Source organism: Homo sapiens, chromosome 7, assembly GCF_000001405.40.
Source record: "Homo sapiens chromosome 7, GRCh38.p14 Primary Assembly".
In the NCBI taxonomy this organism is placed as follows: domain Eukaryota; kingdom Metazoa; phylum Chordata; class Mammalia; order Primates; family Hominidae; genus Homo; species Homo sapiens.
The window spans coordinates 5410537-5430341 of record NC_000007.14 but is presented as its reverse complement, the minus strand read 5'-3'; the positions used below and the strand labels follow the sequence as shown (position 1 = coordinate 5430341).

The following is a 19805-nucleotide window of genomic DNA, read 5'->3' as shown; positions in this document are numbered from 1 at the left end:
CGTGTGCTGGGGAGGTGGGGCTGGGAGAGGTGGGGCGTGCTGAGGTGCCTCTGAGGGACAGGCTGGCCGTGGAATTTGCTGCAGAACTCGGCGTGCACAGGCCTGCCCCGGAGGGGTTCAGAGGCCTAAACAAAGCTGGGAGCCGGCAGGGAGGGGGTGGGGGAAGGAACCTCTAAGAGAAGGGACAGTCCTCTCCCGGGGCACCCACTCCCCACCTAGGTGCAGCGCCTCTCCCCAAACACACGTGCTGCCAAGCCCTTCATCAGTCACCCTGGCACTGACATCCATAAATCCCATTAGTCACACCGACACAAACACATCCAGTCCCAGGCAGACAAAGACTCGGGGCCCCAAAGCGGCCGTGTCTGTCCCCAGTGGTGCTTTCCCCATGCCTAGACCTGTGCCGACACCGCCGGCGCTCCAGCAATCGTTGAACCGACAGCAAGCAGCCCTCCTCGCAATCACAAACGCCTCCTGACCGCGCACTACAGGCCCCCGGATAACCACAGTCGCCCCTTTCCCCCATTCCAAGCCTCTCCCATCTCCTCTGGGTACACACGTACTGCTGTAATCACCCACGAATGCCCTTGGCCATTCCCTCTTCCGCGTCTCTCTGGAGGGGTAGGGCTGACACTGCCCCCTCCTCCCCAAAGCCTGTGCTCAGACGGGTCAGGCAGAAAAACCATCCCCCAAGGTCACCAGAGCTCTTCAGCAGGCGCCCCCGGGAGCTGATTTATTGGCGGTTTATTTGGAGAAACGCTATCGCTCTTAGATTCTGGAGGGGGGAAAAAACACGCTCGCGGTGGACTTTAACCTTGGGCTGAAACCACAGCGCTTTGTTTTCGGAGGTGCTTCCTGGGGCGCCGCGGCAGGGCTGGGGCCTAGCGGGGGAAGCTGGGCCGGAATGTGGCCCAGCAGCCTCTCCACTCCCAGGCTGCGCTTCTGCCTGCCCGGGCAAGCGCTCAAATTCCTCTGGGCCCGGCCGGAAGCCCTCGGTCCCTCCAAAAGTGCTTCTAGAAATTCTAGGAAGGAGCCGAAGCTCCTTGGCTGAGGGCGTCCTTGGAGCGAGGTTTCCAAACCCTCCCATCCCAAGCCCCCGGCATGTGCCACCCGCCGTTTGCAGTCGTGTCACTGGCATGGTGAGGTTTTCGGGAGGCATCCATGAAGGGCTGAATGCTCCGGTTTCCGTGCACCTTAAGTCTGGAGCAAAACCCCGCTGGAGGTGGTTGGCTCCAATCGCGCCCATGGTTTGCTTGGCTGATGTAAGACACCAGCGCGAAGGCCTGTTCCCGCCCCTCTGGCAGAGATAAACTAAGCGTTATTATTGCAAATGCGCCCTCTCTGGATCTGCTCCCCACGACTATTCGTGTGTCAAAACCGCCGCTTCCACCAGGCAGCCACAAGGGCGAGACCCATTCCCGCTTTCCCCATTGCTGAGCCAAAGCTCGCACCAAGGAGGGCTCCAAGCCGGGACCCCGGTTGGAGAAAATCCTGGGGCATCCAGCGGCACGGAGGGTGGGAACCAGATGAGCCTCCGCCTCCGCGCACGGTGCCCACAGTCACACCCCCCGTTGGTCCACCTGTGCCAAAAAAAAAAAAAAAAAAAAAAAAAAAGGCCCTTCATGCGCCCGCAGAGGGCTCTGAGGAGGCACGAGATGAAGGCAGGGTCCGCGGAGAGGTGGCAAGCTGAATTCTGAGAAGCCGCTCTGACCCTGACCCTGGGGTCACCCCTCCGTGGTGCAGGTGGCACCGGAGTTGGGCTCGAGCGGAGAGCCGCATGCCCATCCCAGTCTCACCGAGCCTTCCTAGGAGGAAATGCCAGGCCCGGGCGCCCCTACCCCAAGGCGGTGATCCTGTGAAGCTCGGGCCACCTCAGGGTCCAGCGCCCTCAGAGATGGATGGTGTTGACACCGAGGAACGAGGCCGTTCCCTCTCTTTGGTGAACGGAGAAGCTCCTGGCGTGGTTCCCTGCGCAGTCTCCGGGTCCCCAGGCCGTGATGGGGTGAGCAGGGTGCGCGGCGTGGCCCGGGACACGAGACCGGCCCGGAGCACCCCGGCGTGAGCAGCGGGAAGGAGGGCCCGCCCGGAGATTTATGGCCGCAGCCGGCCCCCTGTGCACTGAGCGCGTCTCGGTCCTTTCCCAGCCAAACAGTGGAGTGGAGGACCCGACCCCGGCTGGAGGAAGAGGCCAGGGCCGGAGGCGGGGCCGAGAGGAGCTGGAATCCATCGGGGCTGGGCCTGGCGCATCAGTCCGAATTCTGCCCGCCTTGCGCCCTGGTCTCGGTGGGGTGTGGGGCGCTGGCGCCGCGTCCCTGGTCTTTCAGGCAGGTCCGGGCAGCTCCTGGCTGGGTTGGCCCGACCTAGACTTGGCGCTGTATCGCGGCTGGGCCTGTCGCAGCGAGGGGACGGCGAACGTGGCTTTCCCGGGCACAGCCTCTCCGGGTTTTAGCCGCGCCCGCCAGACACGGGACCTGCGGAAACCGGCGCTTAAGACGCCCAGCCACACGGCCTCTCAGCTGGCAGCAGAAGCTGGCAATCCCTCGGGGGGGTGCCCTTCAATGAGATGCCAGCGGAGAGTGGGGGCTTTGGTCCCCACCTGGAAAGGCGGTTGGCGCGACGGGTGGAGTGGCTCGGGTGGCCGCGCCAAGGAAAGGATCCTGGCTTTTTCTTTCCCCGCTGGGGGAGGGATAAGGGGAGAACGTGTCCAAGCGGCCAGCAATACCAGAATTTGGGAAGAACCGGGTTCAACGCCGAATTGAGAGAGACCGTCTGATCGCGGGAGCTGCACCAGCCCGGTGTAGGGGGCCGAGCCTGCGCCAACAAAAGCGCGACAGGGGTGACGGCCGGGCTCAAGGTTGGCCTGTCCTTTGGTTTTAAAACAAAGACGGAGAATTTTGTCAGTCGGGAGGCGTCCAGGGAGCGGAGGCCGGAGCCAGCGGCCTAGGAACACAGGGAAGGCCTCGGCTCCGGTGGCCCAGGCTGGCCGCGGAGAAGCACGCTGGGCCGGGCCTCGGCTAGCCAGGGCAGCTTCTCCCGCAGCTGCGGCTTAGGGCTACAAGGAAGACCCCCCCAGCCCCCAGCCGATTTTCTACCCAGTCAAACACACACACACACAGACACGCGCGCGCGCGCGCGCACACACACACACACACACACACACACGCACTTTCACTCAATTGCGTCCACAGTTTTTGGCCACCTATCCCGCTGGGTAAACAAAAGTATGAGGGGGTGGGGAGGGGGAGGGGATGGAATGGGGGTGGGGCGCGGAAGATGGCGGCTGGACCTGGTGGCCTATGGCCTGTGCCCTATGGCCACAGCGCCCAGGCCTGGTTTTTACATTTCAATGTGGCCCGCCATACTGGGGAGGGCGTTTCCCTGGACCCTGAAGCCTAGTTAGGGATGTCCTAGAGGCTCCCCTTTACGAATGGGGGCACCCGGGCTGCAGCCACTACTACTTCGCTTGGGATCGGTCCTCCGCCCCAAGATGGCTCCCAGTCGCTGTTTACTCAGCGACTGCAGGGACACCAGGGCGCGGGGCCGGGGAGCGGGCGAAGATCACGGAGCGTACAGATTGGCCCGGGCAGGTGGCCTCTCCGCGTGGCCCGCCCGCGCCCCCAAGCACGCGGCAGCCCTGGAAAACCGCGTGGGCAGGATGCGTCCTGGCCGCCCCGCCTGGTGGCCAGGAACTGGGAGCCACCACCACCACCGCGTCCCCAGGCCCTGCTCCCCGGCCGGACTCCGGTGGCTGCAGGGCCGCGCAAATATGGAGTGGGTGCCGGGGGCAGGTATGGAAGGGCCGGTGCAAGGGGGCTGGGCGCACAAAGCCCAGGCGGGGAGGGGACCTCCTCTGCCCCGAACCGCGGCCCTAATGAAATACCGGCTGGGTTCGTCACACCGCCGAGGCGCACACTTGAAAAATGCAAACGCCATTGGCAAATCCAGGGCAAACAGGCAGAATTTTTATTAGCAACTAAATGATTTATGGCACACGTACCCCGCCGTCACAATTACGGCGTCTCGGAGCATCCAGGGGGTGAAAACATTAAACATTTATAAAAATAAGCCTTTGTTTTTTCTACTCCGCAAGGCTTTTGTTTTCCCCACCCCAAATCTCTCAAGATATACGTATTTTTTCCTTGAGCTATATTAAAATAAAGAAAAACATTCCCCAAATCCAGGGCGGGGTAATGCGGTGGGGAATTAGGATCTGGGCTTGGAATATTGGTGGGTAAAGAGGGTGGAGAGGAAGCGATGGGGCCTCGGGCGTGGGAGGGCTTAACTAGGAACACACAAGACCTCTGCGTAAGGCTCAAGGGCGCTCTGCGCCCCCACACACGGCCCCCTTCCCCCGCCTGGGCTTCCAGCAGCCCCGCGCAGCTCGACTGCGTTTATTCGATTCCTGCAGTCCCCTCCTCCCCTAAGGCACACAGACACAATACCTCCTTTCTCTAACCCCCCTCTCCTCTCCGTCTTTGCTCCTGGCCGTCCCGGGGATGCACCGGGCGCCTCCCGCCGCCCCGAATGCCGAGGCCGCCACTGAGACCCGCACGCCCAGCTCCAAACGCGGACACCGTGGCTTGTTCCCCTCGGCTCCGGCTATTTTTGTTCCTTTCTTTCCTTCTCACTCCTCCCTCCTCCCCAGCGGAGCTACAGCTTCCAAAAGAGGGCAGCCTAGAAACTAACGCAGGAAGCTCCAGGAAGGGCAACTTGAAACTGCCCTCAAGAGGCTGAACTTTTTTCCTCAAATTTATCCTGGAATTAAATTAGACACCCCCCCGTTCGTTCTCGAAGCCTCCCCCCACTTTTTTCTAAAAGTGGAGAAAAGAAAATAGAACGAATGGGCACTAACTCGCTCATTTTTCCCCCCTCCCAAAAAGTTGCCTTAAAAATTGATTTAAAAAAAACAGAACGGGCAATGCGAAAACGCTGAGTCCGCAGCGCGGGGCGAAAGAGCGGGCTTCTCTTGTTTTAATTAAAATCTTATCACTGCAGTTGCTCTTCGAGGCAGCATTGGAAGGATTTCTGCCCCTCCAAGCTTCCTTTCCAGGGTACGTAATGCCTAGCCGGGCTCGGGGGGCTGCAGAGAGAGGGTGCGGGGGCCCCCAGGACAGTCCTGCTGGCGTGGTCCGCACTCCCTGCGCCCCCGGTCAGGTAGGTCGGCCGCGGGCAGCTCACGGCTACTCAACCCAGAAAGGATTTTGCTGAAAGCGCAAAATAAAAGTACAAAGTCTGGGGGATTGGGGCTCCCTTCCCCCTACGGCCGCCGTGGCCAGCCAAGCACTTTTTGGGCTTGGCGGCTACTTCCTCTGAGCTCAACAGATTTTATTTTTTTCCCGGTCTCGCCCTCCCTGGAGGGGGCGCGGCGGATGGAAGGCGAGAGAGGCCCCCAGCCAAGAGGTTTTTAATATTACACTTTAATAGGTTTCAGAAGGCTCCGTGGAGAAATGCTAATAGGCTGAAATGTCAGAATCGAGAGGGATTCAGTTCGCGCTCAGCCGATCTAATCCTTTTTTCTGCTCTGATTTTTTGTTGGCGGGGGGGGAAGGAGAGGGGAGCGCCCACGCAAAGAGGGGCTTTGGGGAGGGGCGCGCTGTGCGAAGCGCCGCAGCCCGGGCCTGGGCCGAGCGGGGGGCGCGCCCCGCTCCGCGTTTCTATAGGAACCCCTTTTAGAAGATTAGAGACTCACCCGCTGCCTGCCGCCGCGGCCTCTCCAAAATATTAATCAGTAACCATCTGACACCGCGTTTCAGGGAGGGACCCGTAGGTCAGTGCTAGGAAAACGGCCTTCTCGCCTGCCCATCCCACCCGACCGCGCTGCTGGGGGAGAGGGAATGAATCGCTGCTTTGTTTTAAAAGGAAGAAAAAAAAAACAAGGGAAAAAGCAGCCCTTGTCTGTTTCGGCGTCTCCACCGCGCGTACTAGAAGCGCACCCCAGGGGAGGCCGGGGGCCGGGGCCCGGAGTGCGGGGTGCAGCCAGCCGGGCCCCAGGCCCTCTCCGGCTCGCTTGGCTTGTCACCTCCTCCTGCGAGCAGGAAGCTGACAGGCGGCCCATTAAACCGCGCCTTGCAAAGCCCTGGATTGCGGCGACAACCATCTTCCTCTATTTTGATCACTCAGCCCAGACGCTGGGGGAGGGGAGAAGGAAAAGGGAGGAGAAGGAGAAAGGAGGGAGGGGGGGGTCCGAGCTGGTGGAGGGGGAGGGCTGCCTAGAAACGGCCCGGAAAAATTCTCACCACCAGTTTTGATCATTCAGCCCCGCCGAGGGGAGCCTGGAAACTGCTGGAGCCCCTAGGTCCGTAATTGGTTTTATAGGAATGGCTGTGGGCCAAGGTGTTTACATGCGCGTGATTGGCGGCGCGCGCGGCCAATGCGCGGCGGCCGGGGGCCGGGCTGGGGGGGGGGGCGGGCACCCGGGAACAATGCGTGTTTCTTTGCCGGAGAGGGCTCCCCCTCCCCCAACCCCCTCCAACCACCCCCCTCCGCTGCCTTTTTTTTTTTTTTTTTAGATCCTGCGAGAGGAACTTGAAAGGGGGGTTGTGTAATGTACCTTTTCCAATCCCGGGCTGTATATGGAGATTTGGGATTCTTTAAACCGGCGCTACCTGGATTTTATTAAAAAGCGGGGAGCTCGGCGGGAGGAAAGCTGGCTTTTCCGGGGGCTGCGGGAGCCGGGCCGCGGGAGGGCGGAGGAGTTGGCGCGCCGAGCGCTCGGCCCGGGGAGCGGTTTTCTACCAAAAAAAGGAAAGGCGGGCAAAAAGTGTGAGGCGGCTGCGGGTGGCGGAGGGGAGCGGCGGCCGCGGGATGGCGGGCAGCAGGGGCGCCTAGCTGCGCCGGGAGCCGGGGCCGCCGCCGGAGTCGTTGTCGCCGGAGCCTGGAGCCGTGAACCCAGCCGCGCCAGGTACGCCGCCGGTCAGCCTGCCGGCCCCCGGCCGGGCGCGATGGTCTCCAAACTTCTCCAGCTCGCCCCCCAACCACGCCTGCCCCTCGGGGTGCGCGGGGGGGGATCCCCGCTACTGTCTGGCTCCGGATTGCAGAATCGGGGACCAGGGCCGGCGGGGAGGGGGCGCCCCGGGAGGGGTGGGGGTGGGCTGCTGGGCCCCGGGCACCCACGCGAGCCCCCAGCCCCGCTCCGGCCCTCCTGGCCCGGCCGAGGGGCGGCGGTTCCTCTCTCGGTTCCCAGCAGGCGGCGGGGGAGCCCGGGACGCCGAGACGTTTTCGATTATAGGCTGTTTTTAATTAAAAGCCGGAATTCAGCCATTTTAACTCCATTTAAGAGGGGGAGAAAAGTAAGGAGAACGCAGCGGAGCCCGCAGATAGCCGAGGCAGCTTCTTTGCCAGTGTGAGGGTGTTCCAGGGGGCTTCACCCCGACTTCCCCAAACTGGGGCGCCTGGGCATACTACGAGGCGCTGGCTTTTAAAGAAAGCTACCCAAAGAATCTCTTACAAAAAAAAATCACGGGAAGCTCATCGCCTCCTTAAGACATGTATCCTCGGATGTGGCGATCTTAGATTTTTCCAAAGTAAACGCGAATCTGGTAACCAGAGCCTGATGGGAGAGAGGGAGGGAGGGGGTGTTTGTAACCAAAACCGGGTTAAAATAGGCACCCTTAGCAAAGTTGGGGAGGGAGGCTGGAGAGGAAGGCCGGCGGGTTTGGCTAGGGGTTTTGCAGCCGAGGGGGTCTCCTGCTCGGGGGGCTGGGCGCGGAGTGCAGGGCGCCGGGCGGGCACCCGGGAGCCGGTGGCTTTGGCGTGATCGGCTTCTCTTAAGAGAGCCCAGGCCTCCCGGAATCAGGAATGTGAGCTGCTGCAGACAGAGATCGAGGGAAGGGTGGGCTCCAAGACCCCCTCCCATCCTCACGAGAATCGGCAAAGGACAAATCTTTTAAACAAACAGCTTTAACCTGGAACTACAGGGGGATTTACCCAAAGGTGGGGGAGGCGCCCCTTGGCAGGCCCGCGTTGCAAAGGCTTTCTTTGTAGGTTATTTTGGGGGGTGGTTGTGGGGGGGGAAGCTAGAGTAGGAGCGAGACCCTTGATCCCTTTCCTTCCCCTCTTGACATCCCCCAAATCCCCCACGCCAGGCCAGGTCCTCGGGCTGCAGGAGCTCAGGCCAGGGCGTTGGAAAATGAAACCAAAGCTTGTTTTGTAGGATTCTTTCCAGTCCTTAGGCGAGAATGCCACGTCTCGGGTCCTCGGACTCGAGCTCTGGGACTCACAGTGCCCCCCGGGGGGAGAAAGGGGGGGGACCACGAGCCTCTTTAAAAATAATAAACCCGCTTTGGACCCTCCCTCCTCCCACCCCCAGAAAAACACCATTCCGTCGGCGGTTCAAGGCGAGCTCAGGAAAAACCAAACTCGGAAAAGGGAGGCGAGGTCTCCAAAAGGTTAAATATTAAACTTTGCGGATCAGATAGTGCCAGAGTGTTTTGGGAGACACTTCGGACCGTTTGTGGCAAGGCTTCACGGTTTTAAACCCCGGAGCATTTGACGCCTAGGAATAAAATAGGAGGTTTGTATTTACGCCGTCTGGGCGCAGCCGAGGAGCCCTCCCCGGTTTCGGGAGGACCCGGCAGCCGCCGAGGCAGAGTCCGGGCTGGGGCGCAGCGCGCCACCGCCGCCGGTCACTTTTCCGAGCCAGGTCCCGGGAGCCTGAAGCCGCCGGCGGAAGGAGTTTGGATTTCATTTTTCAGTGGAAAGGGGCTACTCCCGATTTCATTTCTGGCCACTCAGTCGGCACCCCCCGATCCTGAAGGGCGAGGCGACTTTCTGAAACTTGTTACTTTATTTTTTTTTCCCTTTTTTCTTTCCCCCTTTCTATTTCTTCCGCGGCCTGTCTCCTCCCCGCCAAGACGCCGTGTGCGCCGCCTCGCGCAGCTCCGCCTGGCCGCCCGGAGGGGCCCCACCGCCGGCCGCCTGTGCGCCCCGGGCCGCGGGCCCGCCGCCGAGCGCAAGCCCCGCTGGCCGCCGCCATGCACGCCGCGGAGCCCCCGCCGCCCGAGGACTCTGGGACTACGCCGAGGCCGAACTTTTAGGTCCCACTGAGCTAGGCCTGCGGGCCGGGTGGGGGGCTGATCGCGGCACTCCCGCGGAGGATGGATGGCCGAGACTTCGGGCCCCAGCGGTCCGTGCACGGTCCCCCGCCGCCGCTGCTGTCCGGCCTGGCCATGGACAGCCACCGCGTGGGCGCGGCCACTGCCGGACGCTTGCCCGCCTCGGGCTTGCCCGGCCCGCTGCCGCCCGGGAAGTACATGGCCGGCCTGAATCTCCATCCGCACCCGGGTAAGTGCCCCGCGCCGTGCCCGTCCCCTCCTGTCTTCCCAGGGAGATCCACTCGGCCGGGTCCTCCTGTGCACTCGCGGCCGGGGCTCGGCGACTCTCCTTCGGTCGGCCACGGGGGTGCGGGCAGACTCGGCTCCCAGGGCTGGGAAACTCCTGGTCCCGGAGCCAAGGCGGTGGAGAGTGTCGCGCGGCTCGGCTACCTTTTCCGTAGCGTGCTTGGCCCTCGTGAGCCGAAAGCCGGTGTGGTAGCCCGAGCCACCGGGGGCGATTCCAATCCCCGGGGCCCCGGCGGCACGAGCCTGGGCTGGAGTTTTCAAAATCTGGGCGAGAAAAGAACAAACCGGCCCCCGCACCCCGCGAGACACCCGCTCCCCGAGCTCGAATCTTTTTCTTGGCAAACGCTACTTTTGGCGCTCGTGGGCCCTCCTGGGTTCTGTTCCCAGCTCCACCACTCGCGCCGAGCCGGGTCCCTGGCAGTTACCGAGCGCCGGGGGATGCGGGAGTACGCCGGGGGATGCGGGAGTACGGTGACCCCAGCCTTGGGACCCTGGCCTCGGGGCGGGCGGGATGCCCCTTTCTTCCCCGGGAGAACGGCGGCCCTGGGAACCTGCACCCCGGTAGGAGGGCGGCGACCCCGGCCCTCGGGGACCCCTTGTTTTCCAGCGCGAAAGAGGGTGCGGAGGTGCGGCAGGGACACCGAAACCGGACCATCGCGGTCCCGAACCTAGGGGGAAAGAAGAGAGCGGGTCGGGCAGGGCCCAGGCGGCGGAGGGGAAAACCCTGGGTCTCACATCGAGCTGCTGGAGGAGGTGGCCGAGAAGGTCCCGCGGCCTCCACCATTTCCCGAGACGGGCTGCCCAGGCGCGGTGGGGACGGTACCCGGGCGGGCGCTGCGCCGGGGCGGGAGACTCTCCCTCCAGTCAGTCCGCGGCCGCTGCAGCCAGAGGGGTGGGAAGGAGACTCGGGGACCTCCAGACCTGCCCGGCGGCCGCCCCAGGACACCTGGTCCCTCCTTCCCGGGCTGTCCCTGGCTTTTGTGCTTGGCGTCCCAAGTCTCGACTTAAAAAAAAAAAAAAATCCACCTCCTGTTCGAATTGCAGTTTCGGATTTTTGCAATTTCCAGAGTAGCCCTCGATGCTCCCCTCTTCCTTGGGGTCTCTCAGGAGCTGCCACCTCGGCCTTGCCCCGCCCGCTCGGCGGAGCTCGCCGATTTTGCTCTCTCTTTGATTTTTCTCCTGGAACTTTTCAGGAACTGGAGTCCCGGGGGCTCGGCGGGACAAAGGGCCTTTGTGAGGCGCCGGGCGGGGGAGGGGCGCGCGCCCGGGGGCCGGGAGCTCGGAGATCCCCGCCAGCCGGGGCGCAAGAACCAGGTCTTGGCCCCCGGACCTGCTTGTGTCCCTCCGGAGCTGGGGGCGTATTCCGCCCGGGGTCTGTGACCGGGGCAAGGGTTTGTTCTCTAGTGGCGTGTTGTGGCGAGGGAGGGGCGCGGGGGACCCCCGAGGAAGAACTTGGGGGGCGGCCCTGGGGTACAGAGACCATCTGAGCTGTCCCCTTTTGCGCTCCCCACAAGTCCACCGTGATGTGTGTGTGTGTGCATGCGTGTGTCTTTTGGGTCATTTGGTCCAGCCCGGAGTGGTGGCAGGGGGGCCCCCCCCAAGCCTGGGAATCGGTACCCGGGTCTCTCTGGCTGGCTGGGCCTGCGCTTGGCTTTTTCGAGGCTGGGAAGGGGCGTCGCGCACTCCCCGCCTGCGATCTGGCTCCGGCCTGGCAAGGCAAAGTGCCCTAATGCGAAGCGGTGAAAACAAGCTACTACTCATGCATGCATGCACAGTGCCAGGGCCGCGCCTAATCTGACGCAGCAGTCAGACGGCCTAATGCCCATTTGCTGGATGGTGAGGCTGAGGTGGAGGGAAGGCCAAGCCACCAGCCTCGGAAGCCCAGCGGGAGGTAGCCTCGGAGCCCTGCCTCTGCGCACCTTCTGCGCTCGCTGGGAGCTGCCTGACTTCTGCACGCCGAGGCTGAGGTCGGGGAGGAAACAGCAGGAGGACAGCTGCCGCCCCCTTGAACCCCGTGCTCACCCGGGAGGGAAAGGTGGGGGCCGGTGCTGGTTCTGGCTGTCCCCCTCCCCCACTTCGAGTAGCCGCAAGGAGACCTCGGACCCCAGGCCAACGCCCAGAGCCAAGCCCGTGCTAATCCCATTAGCCACGAGGTGGGAGCAGCTCCCATTCACTCTCTGCTTGGGGCTGGGCCGGATTACACATTCCTCAAGCCAGCACATCCTCCCCCTCCCGCGTTTTCTTTGTGGGGTGCAGGTGCTACATTTTCCCTTCTGACGCACCTCCCTCTCTTCCTTGGCTGTCGGCACCTTAGGTCTTGCCAGCGTTATCAGTCCCATCTTTATTTGTTTATTTTTGTACCGGGAAGTCCTGAGCGGTTGAGCCACTTGCTTGGGGTCACCCAGCTAGGGAGAGGCACATTAAGGTTGGGCTCTGCGGACGTGGATGAGCGCTGTCAGGGCTTATAAAGCCCCTCCTAGGCCGAGGGAGGTTCCCTGGAGAGAGCTCAGAGCTGGAGGGGCCCTCGGAGAAAGATCCCCGGGGAGGAATCCCATCCAAGCTAGTATTGACAGCCATCTGCTGTGGAAGGTCCTCTGGAAGAGCTGGTTTCTGCCTTTTGGGTCAAGATGGAGGGGTTTGGCCTCTTTCTCTGCAGAAGAGGAGGTGAATTTAAGAATGAATGGGGTTTGGGATCAGGGAAGGGTGGTTTTTAAGTTTCCTATTACCTTGAGCCTTGCTACATTGTGAACAAAATATTCACAGCCTGATCTGGGAGATGGGCATGTAACTGACAAACACCTGGGGCTTGGCTCTGTGCTCTGGGCTTGGGAGGCCTGGACTCAGTTGTCCTCACAGGCTGCAATTAAAGAGCTATTAGTAGGATTTTGTACTTGGATGTTTATTCTCCCTGCCCCCACACCCTAGGCTGGCCCTGGAGGGGTACATGAATAGAGGGTGGGACCCAGGGTTCTGGGTGGGGAGACCCTGCACTCTGGCTTGGCTAACACTGGAGGCTTGGCTAACAAGGGAGGGGCTTGGCTTGGCTAGCACTCTGGCTTGGCAACAGGGGGCCACGGGCCTTCTCCAGGGTCTGATCAGATCCATCTCTGGAATCCAGTCTGTCAGCCTACTGGGATTGATTTAGAAAGATTAATCAGTGAAGACCGCTGGCAGAGTGATGGAGAGATAAGGACGATTTGCAAGGGGCTTCTTTCTCTGGTTAGAGGCGACAAGGGAGGCCCTGGGAGGGTTCTGGAATCTGGAAGGGCCACTTGGTGGGGAGGGGGCTCTCTTGGTTCTTCAGCTCCCAACCCCAGCGCTTTCCTTCTTTCCTCACTTGCTCATTTACTCAGCAAATAATTTCCAAGTGCTTCCTGCGTGCCAGGCACCGCTCGGGTCCCAGGAATGCGGCAGTGAACCCAACAGACAGAAGTCTCTGCCCTCATTGGAGCTCATGTTCTTCCGGGGATTCAGGGAGTGAACACACAAATCCGAGAAGGAAATGTTTTTTGTTTGTTTGTTTGTTTTGTTTTTGAGATAGGGTTTTACTCTGTCACCCAGGCTGGAATGCAATAGCGTGATCTCAGCTCATTGCAACCTCCACCTCCCAGGCTGAGTCCATCCTCCTACCTCAGCCTCCCGAGTAGCTAGAGCTACAGGCATGTGTCACCATGCCCTGCTAAGTTTTTGTATTTTTTAGTAGAGGTAGGGTCTTGCTATGTTGCCCCGGCTGGTGTTGAACTCCTGGGCTCAAGTAATCCTCCTGCCTTGGCCTCCCAAAGTGCTGGGATTTCAGGTGTGTACCACTGCGCCCAGCTGATTTTGTTACTTAAAATTTTTTTTTTTTTAGAGACAGGGTTTTACTCTGTCACCCAGGCTGGAGTGCAGTGGTGCAATTATAGCTCATTGCAGCCTCAAACTCCTGGCCTCCTCCTGCCTTGGCCTCCCAAAGTGCTGGGATTTCAGGTGTGCACCACTGCACCCAGCTGATTTTGTTACTTAAAAAAAAATTTTTTTTTTAAGAGACAGGGTTTTACTCTGTCAACCAGGATGAGTGCAGTATTGCGTTTATAGCTCATTGCAGCCTCAAACTCCTGGGCTCCTCCTGCCTTGGCATCTTGAGTAGCTAGGACTACAGGTATGTACCACCATGCCTGGCTAATTTTAAAATTTTCTATAGAGACGGGGTCTTGCTATGTTGTCCAGCTGGTCTCGAACTCCTGGGCTCAGGAGATCCTCCTGCCTCAGCCTCCTGAGTAGCTGGGATTACAGGTGTGTGCCGCGACACCCAGCTAATTTTTTTTATTTTTAGTAGAGACGGAGTTTTACCGTGTTGGCCAGGCTGGTCTTAAACTCCTGCCCTCAAGTGATCCGCCTGCCTTGGCCTCCCAAAGTGCTGGGATTACAGGCATGAGCCACCATGCCTGGCCTAATTTTAAAATTTTCTGTAGAGACAGGGTCTCCCTATGTTGTCCAGCTGGTCTCAAACTCCTGGGCTCAAGAGATCATCCTGCCTCAGCCGCCCGAGTAGCGAGGACTACAGTCCAGCACCACTGTGCTTGGTTAAGCAAATTTTTTTTTCTTTTTTTGAGACGGAGTCTCGCTCTGTCGCCCAGGCTGGAGTGCAGTGGCTCCATCTCGGCTCACTGCAAGCTCTGCCTCCCGGGTTCACACCATTCTCCTGCCTCAGCCTCCCGAGTAGCTGGGACTACAGGTGCCCGCCACCATGTCCGGCTAATTTTTTTGTACTTTTAGTACAGACGGGGTTTCACCGTGTTAGCCGGGATGATCTCGATCTCCTGACCTCTTGATCCACCCGCCTCGGCCTCCCAAAGTGCTGAGATTACAGGCTTGAGCCACCGCGCTTGGCTGATTTTTTTTTTTTTTTTTTTGCGAGAGAGTCTTGCTCTGTCGCCCAGGCTGGAGTGCAGTGGCACGATCTAGGCTCACCACAACCTCCACCTCCTGGGTTCAAGCAATTCTGCTTCAGCCTCCCCGAGTAGCTGGGATTACAGGCGCCTGCCACCACGCCCAGCCAATTTTTTTTTTTTGTATTTTTAATAGAGATGGGGTTTCGCCATGTTGGCCAGGCTGGTCTCGAACTCCTGGCCTCAGGTGATCCACCCACCTAGGCCTCCCAAAGTGCTGGGATTACAGGCGTGAGCCACCACTCCCAGCTTAACTTCGACCTATTTTTAAGTGAAAATTTCCCAACAGTGAAAGTTGCCAACTTTCCCTGGACAACCACCTGGAGATGGGCTTCTCATATTGTTTTGTAATCTGATGTTTAAAAATGTAAAACTACACCGTGGAGTCTTATGCAGGCTGGGCACGGTGGCTCACGCCTGTGATCCTAGCACTTTGGGAGGCCTAGGCAGGCTGATCACCTGAGGTCAGGAGTTCGAGACCAGCCTGGCCAACATGGCGAAACAGCATCTCTACTGAAAATATAAAAAAAATTGGCTGGGTGTGGTGGCGGGTGCCTGTAATCCCAGCTACTCGGGGAGGCTGAAGCAGGAGAATCACTTGAACACGGGAGGCGGAGGTTGCAGTGAGCCAAGATCATGCCACTGCACTCCAGCCTGGGCGACAGAGACAGACTCCATCTCAAAAAAAAAAAAAAAAAAAAAAAAAGAGGGACACAGACCACGCAGTAAACAAAATGGTAAAGGTCTGGTCTGGTCTGAGAGGTGAGGGGCTGTATCAGCACAGCCCACCCCCACCCGACTGATCTGGAGGGGTGACCTTTTTCCTGCATGCAAAGGGCAGAAAAGTGTGGTGAAGGTGGACGGAACACAAAAGTCAGAGCCTGGCGTATCTGAGCTGGCAGAATGGCTGGAGCTGGTGGGAGGGGATGTGGGGGAGGTGGGATCCTTCAGGTCCCTGAAAGCCAGTCATGAGGTCTTGGAATTTTAAACTGAGGAATGAGGAGGCAGTGGAGGGTTTTAAGTGGAAGGAGTAATTGAAATTGAGGGACATTTCACAGAACTGGTCTGGACTCTTAAAAAAATGTCAATGGCATGCAAGGCAGAGGAAGGCGGAGAACTGTTCCTGATTAAAAGAGACTGGAAAAATGCAACTGCTAAAGGCAATGTATGGCTCTCTATTGGATCTTGGGATCAGGGAAGAAATTGCTACAAAGAACATCATTGGGACAATTGACAAAACTGGAATATGGACTGTAGATTAGTTGATAGTATCAGATCACTGTTAGGTTTTATGAAGTGGATAACTGTGTGTGGTTCTGTAAGAGAATGTCCTTGTTCTTAGGAAATAAGAATACTGAAATGTGGGCCGGGCGCAGTGGCTCACGCCTGTAATCCCAGTACTTTGGGAGGCTGAGGCGGGTGGATCACGAGGTCAGGAGATCGAGACCATCCTGGATAACATGGTGAAACCCCGTCTCTACTAAAAATACAAAAAAATAGCCGGGCGTGGTGGCGGGTGCCTGCAGTCCCAGCTACTCTGGAGGCTGAGGCAGGAGAATGGCGTGAACCTGGGAGGCGGAGTTTGCAGTGAGCCGAGATCGCGCCATTGCACTCCAGCCTGGGCGACAGAGTGAGACTCCGTCTCAAAAAAAAAACAAAAGAAAGAATACTGAAATGTTTACGGGCAAGGGACATAGAGTCTACAACTTGTCCTCGGAATGGTTCAGGAAAAGAAAAAATATCTATTTTATATCTATAAATATACATATATAATATATATATTTATGGGAGACGATGGTACATCAAGTATCATATCAAAAAAGACAGTGAGGCTGGGCACGGGGTTCATGCCTGTAATCCCGGCACTTTGGGAGTCTGAGGTGGGCGGATCACCTGAGGTCAGGAGTTCGAGACCAGCCTGGCCAACATGGTGAAATCCCATCTCTACTAAAAATACAGAAATTAGCTGGGTGTGGTGGAGGGCACCTGTAATCCCAGCTACTTGGGAGGCTGAGGCAGGAGAATCACTTGAACCTGGGAGGTTGCAGTGAGCCGAGATCGTGCCACTGCACTCCAGCCTGGGAGACAGAATGAGACTCCATCTCAAAAAAAACAAATAAGACAGTGAGAGCAGTTCACAGTTGTTGGATCTGGTGAAGGTCATAGGACCATTCATTGTACTATTTCAAACTTTTCTCTGAATTGGAAATGATTTCAAAATAAGCATTTAAAGAAAAACTAGGGGCTGGGCATGGTGGCTCATGCCTGTAATCCCACCACTTTGGGAGGCCTAGGCGGGTGGATCGCTTGAGGCCAGGAGTTAGGAGAGAAGTCTGGGCAACATAGCAAGACCTTGTCTTTACAAAATGTTTAAAAAACTAGTTAGGCATGGTGGCGAATGCCTGTAAATCCCAGCTACTTGGGAGTCTGAGATGGGAGGATTGCTTGAGCCCCAGAGATCCAGGCTGCAGTGAGTTGTGGTCGCACCACTGCACTCACAGTGGTCTGGGCAACAGAGTGAGACCCTGTGTCAAAACATAAAAGAAACGAGGCTGGGTTGCTAGCCAGAGACAGTCTGGTAGACGAGGAGAGAAGCAGGAGGTAATTAGGAGGTGTTGGTTACCAGGGAGGGAGGCTGGAGGTGTCCAGGGTTATGGCCCTTTGGAGGTTGGGCAGGTAAGACGGATGGGGAGAGGAGGGAAGGAGGGAGGAGAACTCAATGGCTTGGGTGCGAACCACTTGTGGAGGGATGGGGAGGGGCAGATTTGAGGACAGGCTGGGGACTGGGCATTCTTGTTTTGGATGTGGCTGGCGGGGGCTGCTCTTGGCTCCCCGGCATGAACCAGTCTGTGGTCTGGCCCAGCTCCTCCCACCCTCTCATGTACTGTAGCCTTGTCCTCCAGCCAGACCCTTGCCCCGGCTTTTCAGGCATCCCAGCTCAGCTTTTTACGGGATGGGCTGGAGCTGTTCTCAGCACAGGTCTCGGGCCTCCCCAGGGCCTGCTGGGAGCCCTGGTTAGTGGTCAGTCAGGGCCAGGGTCCTTACCACCTCTGCTGCCCACAGAGGCCTGGCATGTGACTTGGGAGGAAGTCTAGGCCACTAGGTGGGAGCCACTCAAGTGTCACCTCTCCCAGGCCACCAGTGTACTCAGCATTGCATGTGAGGTTTTTTCAGGGGATAAGCAAAATGGTGGACCCTCAGCCTGGGGGGAAACCCTGACTTCCCACATCTTCACCAACCATTTGACACATTTCTGAGCATTTTGGGGGTCCCTGGAAGCTCCTGGTAATCCCCAGATAGAACACTGCTCCATCTAGAGGCAGGATGGCCTCCAAGCTGAGGTGTGGATGTTGTTTCTCCAGTTAAAGGGCATGTGATGACTTTCTAAACCTCAATTTTTTCATCTATAAAATGGGTTCATTAGAGTGAATGAGTTCATTTGGTGGTTGTGAGGTTTGTTTTTATTTTTTTATTTTTATTTTATTTTATTTTATTTTTTTGAGACAGTGTCTCGCTCTGTCTCCCAGGCTGGGGTGCGGTGGCGCGATCTCAGCCCACTGCAACCTCCACCTCCCGGGTTCAAGCGATTCTCCTGCCTCAGCCTCCCAAGTAGCTGAGATTACACACGCCTGCCACCACTCCCGGCTAAATTTTGTATTTTTAGTAGAGATGGGGTTTAACCATGTTGGCCAGACTGGTCTCAAACTCATGACTTCAGGTGATCCACCCACCTCGGCCTCCCAAAGTGCTGGGATTACAGGCGTAAGCCACCATGCCCAGCCGAAAATTCATTTTCTGGAATTAATGTCTTTTTTTTTTTTTTTTTTTTTTCATTTGGAATTTCTTAGAATATCTGGCTTCCAGTTTCTCTCTCTCTTTTTTATTAAGACGCTGGGTCTCGCTCTGTTACGCAGGCTGGAGTGTGGTGGCATTCTCGTGGCTCACTACAGCCTCAACCTCCTGGGCTCAAATGAGCCTCCCACTTCAGTGCCTCCTAAGTAGCTAGGACTACAGGTGCGTTCCACCACACCTGGCTAACTGTTAAATTTTTTTTAGACATGGGGTCTCTCGCTATGTTGCCCAGGCTGGTCTTGAACTCCTGAGCTCAAATAATCCTCTTGCCTGGACTTCCCTAAGTGCTGAGATTATAGGTGTGAGTTACCATGCCCAGCCAGCCTTCTGGTCCCTTGATGCATTTTTTTCACTTGTCATATCTATTGGATGAGCTGCTTTGTTTTTTTTGGAGATTTCCTTCCTGGAATTTTCCATCTTCCTTCTCTAGTCTGGTTGGCCCGGTTCTTGGGTGTGCTGGAGAGCCATTGTTCTTCAGACTCCCTTTGCCTCTCTCCTGTGTGTCTGATTCCCTTGCCTTCCCGTTTCCTGTTTTACTCCCTTCTTTCTGTAGAGCACATCCTGCGGTGGCTTTCTGTGAAAGGGTGAGAGGAAGGCAACGTTTTTGGGTCCTAGTATGCCTGGAAAATGCTTTTGTTCTACCTTCACACTTGAGTGCTATTTGGGAAATACTTTCCCTCTAGGAATTTTTTTTTTTTTTTTTTTTTTGACAGAGTCTTGCTCTGTCACCCAGGCTGGAGTGTGATGGTGTCATCTTGGCTCACTGCAACCTCTGCCTCCCGGGTTCAGGTGATTCTCCTGCCTCAGCCTCCTGAGTAGCTGGGATTACAGGTGTGAGTCACCACACACGGCCTTCCCTCTAGGATTTTGAAAGAATTGCAACATCACCTTCCATATTCGACTGCTACTTTTCAGGAATATGATGCCATTTTTGATTGCTGATCTTTGTGTATGAACCTTTCCCCACCTCCCCCTTCCTTTTCTTTTTTCTTTTTTTTTTTTTTTTTTGAGATGGAGTCTCACTCTGTAGCCCAAGCGGGAGTGCAGTGGCACGATCTCAGCTCATTGCAACCTCCACCTCCTGGGTTCAAGCGATTCTTCTGCCTCAGCCTCCCAAGTAGCAAGTAGCTGGGATTAACAGGCATGTGCCACCATGCCCGGGTAATTCTGTATTTTTTAAAATGGAGACGGAGTTTCACCATGTTGGCCAGGCTGGTCTCAAACTCCTGACCTCAAGTGATCCACCTGCCTCGGCCTCCCAAAGTGCTGGGATTACAGGTGTGAGCCACCACGCCCAGCCTTCTCCTTTCTTTTCTCTCCTCTTCTCTTTTCTCTTCCCTTTTTTTTTTTTTTTTTTTTTTTTGAGATGGAGTCTCACTCTGTTGTCCAGACTGGATTGCAGTGGCGAGATCTCAGTTCACTGCAACCTCCACCACGGGTTCAAGCGCTGAAGCCTCAGCCTTCCAAGTAGCTGGGATTATAGGCTTATGCCACCACACCCGACTAATTTTTGTATTTTTAGTAGAGATGGGGTTTTACCATGTTGGCCAGGCTGGTTTCGAACTTCTGGCCTCAGGTGATTGACCCACCTCGGTCTCCCAGAGTGCTGAGATTACAGGCGTGAGCCACTCCGCCTGGCCACGGTTATTGTTATTCTTCATCACTGTTCTGAAATTTCATGTTGATA

General features: G+C 57.5%; 1 protein-coding gene and 3 long non-coding RNA genes across 19 annotated transcripts in view, besides 3 other annotated features; 2 read left to right on the top strand and 2 right to left on the bottom strand.

Moving 5' to 3' along the window:
- Nucleotides 1-705: 705 nt before the first annotated feature.
- On the bottom strand, nt 706-2158 carry LINC03073 (long intergenic non-protein coding RNA 3073). Its single transcript, NR_186649.1, has one exon. It is a non-coding gene; the product is annotated as a long intergenic non-protein coding RNA 3073 (long non-coding RNA).
- Nucleotides 1415-4065, top strand: LINC02983 (long intergenic non-protein coding RNA 2983). The gene has a single exon (NR_171035.1). It is a non-coding gene; the product is annotated as a long intergenic non-protein coding RNA 2983 (long non-coding RNA).
- Nucleotides 1981-2730: an enhancer, noted in NCBI's record as "H3K27ac-H3K4me1 hESC enhancer chr7:5467243-5467992 (GRCh37/hg19 assembly coordinates)". NCBI's record gives its function as "activates a minimal SCP1, AML or CMV promoter by ChIP-STARR-seq in naive H9 embryonic stem cells {active_cell/tissue: H9 hESC(naive)}" and the evidence as "EXISTENCE:reporter gene assay evidence [ECO:0000049][PMID:30033119]".
- Nucleotides 5931-6020: a silencer, noted in NCBI's record as "silent region_17914". NCBI's record gives its function as "represses an Ori minimal core promoter by ATAC-STARR-seq in GM12878 lymphoblastoid cells {active_cell/tissue: GM12878}" and the evidence as "EXISTENCE:reporter gene assay evidence [ECO:0000049][PMID:35858748]".
- The window catches only part of TNRC18 (trinucleotide repeat containing 18), a 117024-nt gene continuing 103726 nt past the window's right edge, over nt 6508-19805 (top strand). For 7 of the 16 annotated variants that reach the window (XM_017012732.2, XM_047420980.1, XM_017012730.2 and 4 more), the window contains exon 1: nt 8412-9282. In XM_017012732.2, the coding sequence (XP_016868221.1) occupies nt 9096-9282 (187 nt within the window). In that variant the 5' untranslated portion in view covers nt 8412-9095. Of the gene's footprint in view, nt 6902-7300; nt 7933-8411; nt 9283-11413; nt 12003-19805 lie in introns of those variants that run through there. The other 9 variants (NM_001080495.3, XM_017012728.3, XM_017012737.3 and 6 more) reach the window with 7 other exon arrangements.
- On the bottom strand, nt 7216-11071 carry TNRC18-AS1 (TNRC18 antisense RNA 1). The gene is made up of 2 exons (NR_199005.1): nt 10074-11071; nt 7216-7549 (listed from the first exon to the last, which is right to left on the bottom strand). It is a non-coding gene; the product is annotated as a TNRC18 antisense RNA 1 (long non-coding RNA).
- Nucleotides 10975-11724: an enhancer, noted in NCBI's record as "H3K27ac-H3K4me1 hESC enhancer chr7:5458249-5458998 (GRCh37/hg19 assembly coordinates)". NCBI's record gives its function as "activates a minimal SCP1, AML or CMV promoter by ChIP-STARR-seq in naive and primed H9 embryonic stem cells {active_cell/tissue: H9 hESC(naive and primed)}" and the evidence as "EXISTENCE:reporter gene assay evidence [ECO:0000049][PMID:30033119]".